General features: G+C 39.4%; 1 protein-coding gene and 1 long non-coding RNA gene across 10 annotated transcripts in view; one reads left to right on the forward strand and one right to left on the reverse strand.

The window, feature by feature from the left end:
- Positions 1-12813, forward strand: part of PTH2R (parathyroid hormone 2 receptor) — a 134815-nt gene that overhangs the window by 40408 nt on the left and 81594 nt on the right. The window contains exon 1 of one of the 9 annotated variants that reach the window (NM_005048.4): positions 6693-7019. The exons of the other annotated variants lie outside the window; for them this stretch is intronic. Coding sequence (NP_005039.1) covers positions 6945-7019 — 75 coding nt within the window. The 5' untranslated portion in view covers positions 6693-6944. Of the gene's footprint in view, positions 1-6692; positions 7020-12813 lie in introns of those variants that run through there. 9 annotated transcript variants of the gene reach the window in all.
- LOC105373855 (uncharacterized) lies at positions 713-6547 on the reverse strand. The gene is made up of 3 exons (XR_001739862.1): positions 6352-6547; positions 1378-1720; positions 713-1218 (listed from the first exon to the last, which is right to left on the reverse strand). It is a non-coding gene; the product is annotated as an uncharacterized LOC105373855 (long non-coding RNA).

Consider the following 12813-nt stretch of genomic DNA (forward strand, 5'->3'; position numbering starts at 1 on the left):
AGTTCTTTCAGCGATTTGACCTATTTTGTTTTTCAGAAAACACTTCTGTTTATACCTTACTAAAATATTATATTGTAGTGGTTATATGTCCAGAGGCTAGTAGAGTACTTGTTTATTGAAAACAAAATAAAATATGAATTCTAAATAGTAATGTCTAAATTCTTCAAAATGTAAGTGGTAGAATTGACTTTGATAGACCTTTTCTCCTGTAATATATTGTTATAATATCCTGAGACATACTCAGCATAAATATCTTCCCAGTCATTAAGTTAGTCACCAGCACCTCTCTTTGGGGACTGCCTAAAATGAAAGGATATGTCCTTCGGTGGAGTATTCTTATATTTCCAGGGGTAGCAAGAGCTATTTGAATTTCTCATTAGAATGTCTTTTTCAGATGTCTAGTTTAACCTGGTATCCTAGTAAAAATAGCAACATCCGGATCACTAAGGGATGGTTCAGAGTAGATTATATTAGTGGTTATTTTGGTATTAGGTTTGTGGTACTATCTATAACCTTTTATAAAGATCTCATTGATTTATTTTAATGTGGGTAAAATCATTTTAGACATGGATGAATCAGACAATAACTTAATTTTATCTAAATATTTTGCAAGTTAGGTCAGCAAGAGTTCACTATATAATTGCTAAAATAGTCTCTTTAATTTCCAAAGCATATGTATATTTTATTGGAAATGTGATTTATGTGCATTATATTCAACTAATAAACATTATATTTGATGTCTCAGTAAGTATTTAACCAGATGTATATGTATCTCTTGAACTTTTATTGCACAAACATAAAAGCTCTGTTTGTGGAGAGAATAAAAGCAAATTTCATAGTAGACCTCAATATACATTTCACAAGTACTGACCTCATAGTTCTAGAATAGAAACCAACTGGGTATGATACATGAGAGTTAGTAGACATAGCTTATGATCATTATGTGAATACATTGGTTGTATTCCAGATATCAGAAGGAGGTATACAATAGGATTATGCCATGCTCAGAAATATTGGATGTCTGTGTATGAATCCTATGAAGAAATCATTCATATTCCCATAAACATTGAGTTTCTTCGCAGTCTCTTCTTCCATCTGTATGGGAACTATTCCCAAATCTGTTTTCAGCACTTACCTGAGCCCCACTCTCCAATTTCACATTCTTTTCAAAAGTCTCCAAATTCTCCCCTACCTGCCACCTGTATGTTCCAATGTTACCTGAAATGGAACATGAGGAGAGTTAGGATTAGCATCTGTCCCCTGTAAAAACAGTGGCCTTTCCTTCTGCCTTCCCACTACTATCAACACTAGTCTTGTTCTTTTGTCCTCCAAGACTTGCAAAAAGGTTTTTTTTTTTTGCCCCGTCATTCCTTTTACCTTCCAAACCGCTCAGTGATCAGGTCCTGTTAATATTTTCTTTATGGTATCTCTCCTTCTTATTCCTTCCTGTGTATTTTTTTTAAACTTAATCCTTTTCCTCCTCAGGGTTTGCAGCCACCCTTCTTCCTCTGCAGCACACCTGCTGTTTTAGAATCCCTCCTGTTCTGCCCGTCTCCTGCTTTGCACATGTTCTTCTCTGCTTCGAATGCCCTCTTCAGCATCCTCCATTGGGTCACACACAGCCCTTCTTCACGCTCAGTTCTGATGACTCCTCTGGAAATCCTCTCTCACCACACAGGGCTTAGAGGACTTCTGCTGTCTTCAAGGCTCTGGGAGTGCACTGGGAACAGGACAGGATCATTATCCTTGAAGCTCTGGTGCCTAAGAGACGCTAGCCACAGTGTGTTGTTGTTATTAGAGGTTGTCCCCTTACACAGCTCCCTGGTTCCTCTCCACTGCACCTGTTCTACAAGAGCCAACAGAACACTTTTTCCTACAAAAACATTTTTGTATCACAGCCATTTGGTGGCACATGACTGGCTACCATACCATTCATTGCAATGCCATGTCTTAGCCAGGCTTTGAGGGACCCCAGTTCCTGCTACTCCTCACTTTCCTATTTTTACCAACAAGGCAGTTTTCTTCCTGTTTTTGCACATTATATAAGTCACCCAGTTTCTTGGTGTGCTTTTGCCATTCAAAACACTTAAAAATGCCCTTTCCCTTTGTCATAGCTTCTGAGAAGCTTTGCAGATTTTCTCACTATCCTGGAAGACTTCTTCAAGTAACCTTAGCCTCAAAGTAATCAGTCCCTCCCTCTGCAGCCTGTAGCTATTTTTATATTATGTTATTTTGTCCATGTTGATATTTTGCTTTGTCATATAAATTCTTTAGGAGAAAACCAGTATGTTCCATTTTTTGTTGTTTTTATCAATATTTACTTTTTACAGTGGTCTTTCTTGTCTAGAAAGTACCTAGTATAAATTGCTAACAAAATGTCATAGCTCCCTACATCTTAAAAAGTCCTCAATCAAATTTTATTTTTCAAGGTTTCTTGTACTTATTTTAAGTGATAAAGAAACAACTAGATTGACATTTTCAATGTTCCTTCCTAATCCATCTCCAAATTAAAGGGTTGTTACTTATCTAGGTGAAATTTCTCTTTCTTGTGGTATTTGGTACATTCTTGGGAGCATATGCCTTCGTGTGCTGAAAGACTCAACATAAATTGCTCATAGATATGTCATACTGCCTGTAATGTTGAGTGATCCTTTGGTTTAACAAGGATTAAAAATGTAATTCTATTGGGAACTTATCTCTGTGGGGAAATGAGAAAATGAATGAGAAGGTGCTTAGTACATCTGTGAAGTTCTATGGAAATGCTAAAGCGCATTCTATAGGGGCACGGTAGAATAGTAGAAAAAGTGATAAATGTGGAAACAGAAGACCTAAGCTGAAGTCTTCACTGGCTGCCGTGTGTCCTTCTGCACATCATTTAGCTTCTTTCTGAGTTATAGTTTCCTCATCTAAATAGGTACTACCCCTAAAATGGATATTTTAGTTTATGTATCTCTAAGGCTTGTTTGGGGAATCAGGATATTTTGCTGGATGCAAATATTTTGCAGAATGTAGATTTATGAAAGAAATTGGTTAAAATATGTTAAAAATATGAGCTATTGTTATAGCCAGCAAATTATAGCCATTTAATCCATGATATTGGCTAGTTCAGTCAGACGTTTTCCATGGAGGCAGTAAGATTTTCATGATTAGAATTTTTTTATTGAGGAAATATGCTATACATATGTAGGGATGATTTAAGTATTGGGAAGAAGTTAAATGATTTTTTCACATACTAAAATCCTATGGGATTTCTAGAGAAGACTTGCAGCTCTCCTAAATTCTTGACAGAAGAGTGTGTCAACTCTGAGAAAGCCATTTAATTTTAGAAAGACAAAATGGAGGTACAAAAAGCAGAAGGGGCTATTTGTCCAGTTAGCATTTGGACAGGATTAAATCCTGGTGCTAACTGATCTAACAATTAATGAAATCACATTGCTCTCACATCAGATGCTAGCAGCTAGATTTCACACTGCAAGCACGGGAGTTCAATGACAGGATGGTGTTCAGTTATTATTGGTGTGTAGCAAGCTACCCCCAATCTTAATGACTTAAAGTAAGTACAACCACTTACATAGCTCAGAAATCTGTAATTTGGACAGGCTCTTCTCTGCTTAAGTTGGTATCAACTGAGGCAGCTGAGCTTGGGTTAGAGGATTCAGTTCCAACATGGCTCATTCATAGGGCTGATGAGTTGCCACTGGTTGTTGCCTGGAACAGTGGTTAGGATTGAGACCTGAGATCTTCAGTTGCCTGCACTGGGCTTCTCTATGGGCGTCTCAGACTTCCTCACAGCATGGTGGCTAAATTCCAAGACTGAAAGGAAGTCCTAGAGCCTAGAAGTAGAAGCTGCCAGTTTCTTAAGGCCAGAGTTTATTTCCACTATATTCTATAGGTCAAGCAGTCATAGAGCCCATAATCATGGGAAGGAGACATAGGCCCTCACCTCTCAATGAAAAGTGTGTGTCCAAGAGTTTTGGGGGCATATTTTAAAACCTCTACAGTCAGAGAGTGTAAGGGGAGAACAGAGAGAAGAAGAACATTAAGTCTTAGGAGGACAAGCTTGAGTTGGGGCTGTTAGTTGGCTACTGAGAAGAAAGTTCTCATCTAATTATTTGAGAAACAAAGACAGAACATTGGTAATTTAACAAGTAGGGCAGTGTAGATTTAAGAGAGAGGAAATGGCATGGTACCAAGCACATAAGTCCAACTTCTTAATTTTCTTCAGGCTTTATCTTGACTGAGGTGGGCCTTGAATTTAACAATTTTCTTTAATCCTCAGTAGGGAAACTTTAAGATTGGCGATTGCTTCCTTTTCATTATTTTCCCTTAAGCTACAAATTAATTACTGAGTATTTCCATAATAGGCTTTGCATATTAATAATTATAAATGGAATGTAATAGTGTATATGAAAGTATTTTGCAAATACCAAGCTTACTGTCATTTGTATAACTGTACAGCTGATAAAAGTTTCCTCGACATTGTCATTATCTCATTTAATTGTTACACGGGCCTTATGAGGCAACTTGTTATTAGTAATAACAACCTTTCCTAATTAAACAGAGAGAAAGACACTTGCACACGAGCCACTGCACATCAGTTTGGAGTCAAGACAAAAACCCTCGCCTTGGGGAGTACCTTTTCTCTTCAGATGTACCCCGAGAAGTACCCGTGTTTGAATGGCCAGACTTCCCTGTTGTTATCTGCCTACTTCCTGAGTTCCAGTGAGAAAGCCCTCAGGACTGAGCTTCAGAGGGCTAAGTTCTTTCCAAATTTAACAGTCAGGCACTCAGAGAAAAGACTGCCAACCATTTGATGGAGGTGTTTCACATCTGAGTTTGATGAATGGTATTCCACCCTGGATAAACTGGAGAGATGCTCTATTTAATTGATTGCAAACCCTACTTTGATTTCTAAGCCTCTTCTATCAGAGCAGCCTTACATGGAGCTAAAGTTGTGATTTCAGAGGCATTAGCAAACTTTTGTCCTCCACCTCCCTTCAAAATATCTTTCCCATTAAAAAGATGGATTCTTTAATAAGTGATGTTGCATTAACTGGTTAGGTACTTGGAGAAATTGTTACATTACCTAAAAAATTGATACTTTAAAACATTAAATTATTTATTTAATGTTTGAAACAGTAAAATTATGAAACGGTAGAAAAGAACTAGAAAAAAGATCTGATGAAAAGATTTTCTAATTTTTAGTATGCAATTCCTTTCTCGCATAAAAGCTAAGGAAGAAATTATAAAAGAAAAGACTGCTAGATTTAGATACATAAATTTAAAAAACCCTCCGCACTGATCAAGATATTATAAATTAGGCCAAAAACAAAGTTGAAAAACATTTTGGTATTTATGTCAGAAAAATATTTTATATTGTAAACATAGACAGTGCTTTTCTACATAAATAGGGAATACTCAAACTTACCACAGCCCTTTGCCCATTCACAGACTATGATCACAATAATAATAATAATATTCATCATCACCAAACAATGCTAACGATACTAGCTAATACTTATTGAGCATTTCCTTGGACTTTATGTTTGTTTACTCACTTAACTTTTCCAACAAAATTTTGAGGGACAGCAGTGGGCTGAATGTTTATGTTCCCCCAAAATACATATGTTGAAGTTCTAGTCCTTAAGGTGATGGCTTATTAGGCATGGACTTTGAGAGGTGATTTGGTCATGAGGGCTCTGAGATCAGTGCCCTTATAAAAGAGACCTCAGAAAAATCCCTCATCCCTTCTGCCATGTGAGGTTGCAATGAGAAGACAGCAGTGGTCAATGAGGAAGCGGGCTTTTATCAGACACTGAATCTGCCAGCACTTTGATCTTGGACTTCCCAGCCTCCAGACTGTGAGAAATAAATCTCTGATGTTTATAAGCCACCCAGTTTATGGTATTTTGTTATAGCATCCAGAGCTGATTAAAGGAGGTTCTCGCATTTCTCCCATCTTACAATTGAGGAGATTAAGACAAAGAGAGGCCAGTATGTAATTTGCTCAGGGTTATGCAGCTAGCACATGGCAGAGCCAGAATTCAAAGGCTTTCTTCCTTCAAGAGGCAAGAACAAGAGATTTTAAAAGGTTGTAATACAATTGGCCAATGAATGTCTAAAATAGTCAAACTTAAAAATAAACTAAAAAAAAAGAATATTAGTTGTCTTTTTTTAATGCCAGGATTCAAAGCACAATACCACACAAAGAACTTTTGACCCACAAGAAATATATACATTATTTCTACTTAACACACACCGAGTATTATTATAATGGTTAGGAGAAAATGAATCAGAGCATTTTAGAGAGCTTTAGGACTGTCCAGCGAACAGCCCAGACGCAGGGCCTACCTGGCCTCGGGAGCCTTTAGCCATCTTATCGCTGTCCTCGGGGCCGATGGTCAGCGCACGCAGGACAGGAAGAAACTTCTGGATCACTCCTGGAAGACCCAGGGCGCCCCTAGAGACAGGGCCCTGGAACCCGGGACAGAGTGGAGGGAAGCAGAAACATTGCGAATCGGGGGTGGCGGCAGCAGCGACATGAGATCCTTTGCCCTCCGCCCCCTGGGCTGCGGGACCCAGTGACTTCGAGGAGGAGCGCGAGCGCAGCCGCGCGGGGCGCACCCGGATCCGCCTGGGGCGGGAGCCGCCCCCTTCCCGCCGCAGGCGGCGCGGGGCTGCGAGTCAAGTCCAGGACTCGGGCCAGTCTCTCCGGAAGACAAGACCAACCTCGCGCCGCGGCGCAGCAGCACGCGGGTTCTGAGAAGCGCGTGGCTCCGGCGACAAGACCCCAAGCACCCTCGGCCGGTGGCCCGGGCCCGACCACCCCAGCTGCGCGTCGTTACTGGCCACAAGTTTGCTCTGGGCCAGCCAAGTTGGCAACTTGGAAGCTTCTCCCGGGCTCTGGAGGAGGGTCCCTGCTTCTTCCTACAGCCGTTCCGGGCATGGCCGGGCTGGGGGCGTCGCTCCACGTCTGGGGTTGGCTAATGCTCGGCAGCTGCCTCCTGGCCAGAGCCCAGGTAAGAGCCAGTGCTCCGCGACACCTGTTTTCGCGGAGCCTCCGGCGGGGACTCAGCTTTAGCGACACGGAGGCCAGGTGCGCGCGAGAGCTCATTCATGTTCACACGTCCACAAACGCCCCGGCACGCACCGAGGCGTACCCGGCAGGTGCTGGCAGGCAATTAGTGGAGGGAGCTTCAAAGATCTGCTTTAGTGGAGTGATGTCCTGGGGCCGGCACTGTTTAGACCAGCATCCTGGCATCCGCAAAGTAAGGGGATATTTCCGAACAGCGGAGTCGTGGATCAAGAGTGTGAGGCTGGGAAGGTGAAGGAACTTTTCTTACTCTTAAACTCCGTGGTCCCCATTTAATTAATCGAAATGACTTTTGTCTGCTGGTAATTTACCATCGCTTTTGAGAATTTAAATTTACAGGATCGATTGTGACCACTATCTGAAAGAATAATTGGCTGTCTGTGATACAGAATCACATACATTCAAGTTAGGAGACAGAATAAAAATACCAAAATACAGCTCATTTGTTAATGTTAAGCGGTGGCTGTCACTTTTGTACTGCTAATATCATTTAGAGATTTTCTGGGCGATCTTTCACAATGAAGCCTCTTTAATGTGCAAGGCACAATTCATACGCACTTTTTTTTTTGAGTCAAATCAAATGTAGGGTTTACAGTCAGCTTTTCAGATGAGCTAGAGAGATGCGTGTAGTGGTGGATGTTATGCAGTTCAAGAGCCCTGTGAATTTAAACCGAATCAAGGTATTTCTCTCCGGTTCGGTAGGGGGTGCACCTAGACCGTCAAATGAAGGCCCAATAAAAAATTATTTCACCGTGAGAATTCAAAGCAGTGATTTATGTGTTGATACTGTCTAAACTTAATACTATGTTCTCGGCTTTCAGATGACTAGTTTAAATTTCAATTATTCTAAAAGTGCAGTTTAAAAAACCTATCTGTTAAAGTCATAACCAGAGACATTAAAACTTAAAGGGGATTTCTAGGCTAGGTGCCACGCTAAAAGTGGGCTTTACTTAACATGACCAAGATGTTTCATGTAGATTTATTTTGTTAATAAATAAATTTTGTTAATAAACTAAACAATTTGTGTGTCATACATTGACTAATAATATTAGCAATGGATAGCTGAAAGTAAGATACACTTAAACCTGAAAAAATTCATCAAGTTACCAGAAGGAATATGAATGCATGGAAAAAAATTTGGTGATAAATTTCCATGATCGTTATAGAACTCTGGTAATCTCTACTATACTTCCTACATTTTTATCTCATAAGATATTTGGATAATATGCTTAAAAATGGCATCTTATATACAAGAGGCAACTGAACTCTAACCGTTTATTTTATTTAGTGTTCTAGATTACTTTTTGTAAGGAAATGGGGAGGTATTATTTAGTACAATAAGAAAAAAAAAAGGCTTGGTGTGGTGGCTCACGCCTGTAATCCCAGAACTTTGGGAGACGGGAGGATCTCTTGAGCCCAGGAGTTCGGGGCTGCTCTGAGCTATGATCATGCCACTGCACTCCAGCCTGGCAACAAAGTGAGACCCTGTCTTGAAGGAAGGAAAGAAAGAAAAGAAAGAGAAGAAAGGAAAGAGAGAGAGAGAGAGAAAGAGAGAGAGAGAGAGAGAGAGAGAAATAAATAATAAATAAATCACCATGGGATTGTGGGCAGAATATTTTCTTTTGCTTTCAATAAAACAATCAGGACATTGAATACTTCTATAACTTTAAACCAGGATTTCCCAACCTTGGCATTGTTGACATTTTGGGACATATATAATAATTCTTTGTTTTGTTGGGGGTGGGTGTGTTGTCCTGTATATTGCAGAGTATTTAGCGCCACCCTGTCTCCTCTATCCACTAGATGCCAGTAGCCCCCCTCCCCCTAACTGAGACAACCAAAAATGTCTCTAGATGTTGCTGTACATAGTTTGGAAGGCAAAATCACTCCTGGTTGAAAATCATTGCTTTACACGGATTTCCATTTATATCTATAGATTATGAATTGCATAAAATGACAGTTTGTGGTATTATATTACATTTGCCGAATTTTTGACATTTTAAAGTCTGGAGGTTAAATTCAAGTGATTTACATTGACAAACTGATACATTTTATGACCTTCAGTTTCTTCATCTTCAAAAGAGTCATATTGGGCTAAGATTCTTTTAATTCTATAAGTCTTGGTTTATTACTTTTAGGTTACAGTCATTCTCTACTCTGAAATTCCATTAGTTAACCTGGAGTATAATAGAGACTAAATACATTCTGGGTATTATTTACTTCAAATATCAATTGCTGATATTATTAGCTTAAGTATGAGAGACAAGGTATTTATGAAAAATGAGGCTGGCTTTATTAATTTTTTTAGCATACCCAGTTAATGATGAATATATTGCTAGCTAACACAGATATTTCAAAAAAATTATAACATATTGATAGAAAACCAAAGGGAACTCACCCAGGCAGAATGAGCTTGTGTAGAGTAAATATTTAGTATTCAGTAAACACTGGATCACACCATAAAATAGATGATATAGACCAGTGCTCATCAATTGTTTTAAGGGTCTCTGTGGTTTCTGGTTGGTAAAGATATACTTTTGTCTCAAAGCACAGTTCAAAACCCGTGCATTCATACATCATTACAGAGCCCAGCAATGCATTTTCTATAGTCAGATTATCACATGGTAATGAGGACCACTATATAAACATGTTCAGTATTTTCTTTACTGTGTTAGTGGATCCTCCTGGTAACAGACTGTAGGATGGAATTGGGGTGCTAGAGGTTTATTAGGGGAGGAGGTAATGCTTGTGAAAGTTGAAAGGGAGAGGGAGAAGGATTGGACAGGGGTAACCTCAGACCGGCAAGCAAATCTGACAAAATTTTTTCCAACTCAAAGGAGAACCTTGGGGGAAAGGTGCCCATCAGAGGAGTCCCATGCTGCGAAAAAATGGCCAGGTCTTAGAATTCCTACTGTTGACCTTCCAGCATGAAGATTCAGAGCCTACTAGAAAATCAGAAATCTCTTTCTAGGTGTGGAAAAATGGTAATCAGTAATGCTACTTGCCAAGTACCAAATACTGTGCTAAGTACTTGATTCTCTCATTTAATTATCACAGTAACTTTATGAGATGGGCACTGTAATTGTTCACATTTTTATAAATGAGAAAATGGGGCTATGAGATGTTAGATAATATACTCAACTCACACAAGCAGCCATGATTTATACTCTGACTTTTACCTCTGGGGCCCACCCCTCCTACTGGTACCCTCATTGTGGAGATCAGCTGGGCACTGCTTAGTGACATTATGTATACACATGTCCTCTGTCCCAGCAATCTCCGCCCCGAGTCTCTATCCCAGGGAATTTCTCACCCAGGTCTATAATGATTCTTGCAGTAATTCTGTGGTGTTAGAGAATTAGGGGCAATCTGGGTGTTTATAATGGGGTATTGTGTAGCAATAAAAAGCAATGGCTTAAATGTGCACAAATCAGCATGGACAAGATCGTAAAAACAGGATAACATGTGACAGAAACAATAGGATATATGGTATGATATCATTTACATACATTAAAATACATGCACATAAAACAGTAATATATGTTTTATGAACATATTCAGATAAAAGATTGTGTGTGTGTGTGTGTGTCTTACATAAATGCTTGTATATGGGAGGTAGAGAAGTAGGAGTGGGGTATAGACATAAAATGGGATAAATCAATAAATCAAGTAGGCCTGCACTCTGCATCTCAACGCATGTGTTAATTACAAATTGTGGTGATAATAAACAGAACTGTCAAAACTATTACTGATGGAGTTAAGAATGAGGACAGCCGGGCACAATGGCTCATGCCTGTAATCCCAGCACTTTGGGAGGCCAAGGCGGGCAGATCACTTGAGGTCAGGAGTTCGAGACCAGCCTGGCCGACATGGTGAAACACCGTCTCTACTAAAAATACAAAAATTAGCTGGGCATGGTGGCACACGTCTGTAGTTCCAGCTACTTGGGAGGCTCAGGTGGGAGGATCGCTTGAACCCTGGAGGCAGAGGTTGCAGTGAGCTGAGATCATACCAAGTCCTAGAATATAGGCAGCTTCTCCAAAGTGGAAACTAGGGACTGTCTTTGGCAGAATGAAATGGAAACTCAACATTTGATTATCTCTATACTGTGTTTATTGCCACAAACACTATTGTAGTTAAAGATAAGAGAGTTGGTTTGTTCTCATTCTTTTCTCTTGACAACGAGGACTATTTCCATTTGTCTTCTAGTTATAAGGAAGCCTTAAATCCCTGAGGAATGGGCTTCCTGGTGGCTGCATTAATTGTGAGTAGTCTCTTCAGCCCTGGTAGACCAGAGGCAGTGAGATGGAAGGGTCCCAGGTGTGGCTCTTCCTTGCCAATGCACAGAGAGTAGGTTTCATATTCCCAGAACTTCCTCAATTCTTTGTGACAAAATAAAATATTTTCAGCAGGCATTCATGCATCTCACTTATTTTCCTGTCTTGAACTTCAATTGGTTTTGTCATCTACTGGAACCCATCTTGTCCTTTCTTTCCCCTCTGTTTTGTTTTTTTCTTTTCTCTGGGTTATTCATTAAATTTTTAAACAGCCGTGTGACTTTAGTCGTTAATTTCATCTCTTGGTTGTCTCCACTGGCTCCACTGTAAAATAGGACTTACTCATAGAATAAGCATTATAGTGACATCTACTCATAGAATGTGAGTCTTGAATTAAACATATACAAACAAAAAGCTTAAAGGTGCCTGATAACAAAAGATGTCAGCTCTTTCCTCTTCTTTTATTAGCAGATGAGTTAAGTTATTTTTAATGGAATGATTACTAGATTAAGATTATTTCTAAGCATTAGTGAGAACTCCTGAAGGCTTTTAAATGGGGTGTGTATGTATGTGAGAATTTTGCGAGGCCATTTTCTCTTCCTTTTATTTCTTACGGCTTCTTCTTCAGAACCCACATTTTTTCTGATAGCAATTGGACATTTTCTTCATAACACTGATAGCTGTTATAATATTACATTTATTAATATAAGTACTTGATCAATATCTAACTTCCTCATTGCTTTTGCTCAAAATTTGTTTCCTTCTTGCTGATGGATATTACCACTTTACTTTTCCCAGTTGTTATTGTCTCCCAGGATCGCACAGCTGTGCTGCATGACAGATGTGTTGCCTAGAGGGAGTGACACTAGTTAGAAATGAATAGAACATTGGCCACTGCTGCTATTATGTGTAGATCTATAATTTGGCCTTCAGCCTGATTTTCTGTAATCTCAGATTCTCATTGCCAATTGCTGGCAGGAAACAGTCTTCTTGATGACTTGTCATGTCCAAAAACAGGTCAACACTATTTCTAGAGTGATAATCATTGGCTGATTTCATTTCCCCATGAAATGAACTCCATCACTGAGTAGAGCTGCCATAGAATAGCCTTGAAAGGCAGAGGTAGTGCTGTGTGAGGACACTGTACTGGGAGATAGGACACCTGGCTGTAGTCCACGTTTTACTATAAATTAGCTGGGTGGCCACAGATAAGTGGCAAAATTATGGGTCTCATTTTATCATGTCAAGAGTATAAGGTTTAGAGTTCCAGCATACCAGAGATTCATATTTTTTCAGGTTATCAACAGAGCTAGCTTTAAAGAGTGTTTTTACTATATACATATAACAGGGATCAAAAGCAGAAACTACCCACATTTCTATTTAGTCTTTGTCTATGTGCCTATTCAATTAATATATACTTTCAATTATGTCATAAATGAAATT

Source organism: Homo sapiens, chromosome 2, assembly GCF_000001405.40.
Source record: "Homo sapiens chromosome 2, GRCh38.p14 Primary Assembly".
Lineage (NCBI taxonomy): Eukaryota > Metazoa > Chordata > Mammalia > Primates > Hominidae > Homo > Homo sapiens.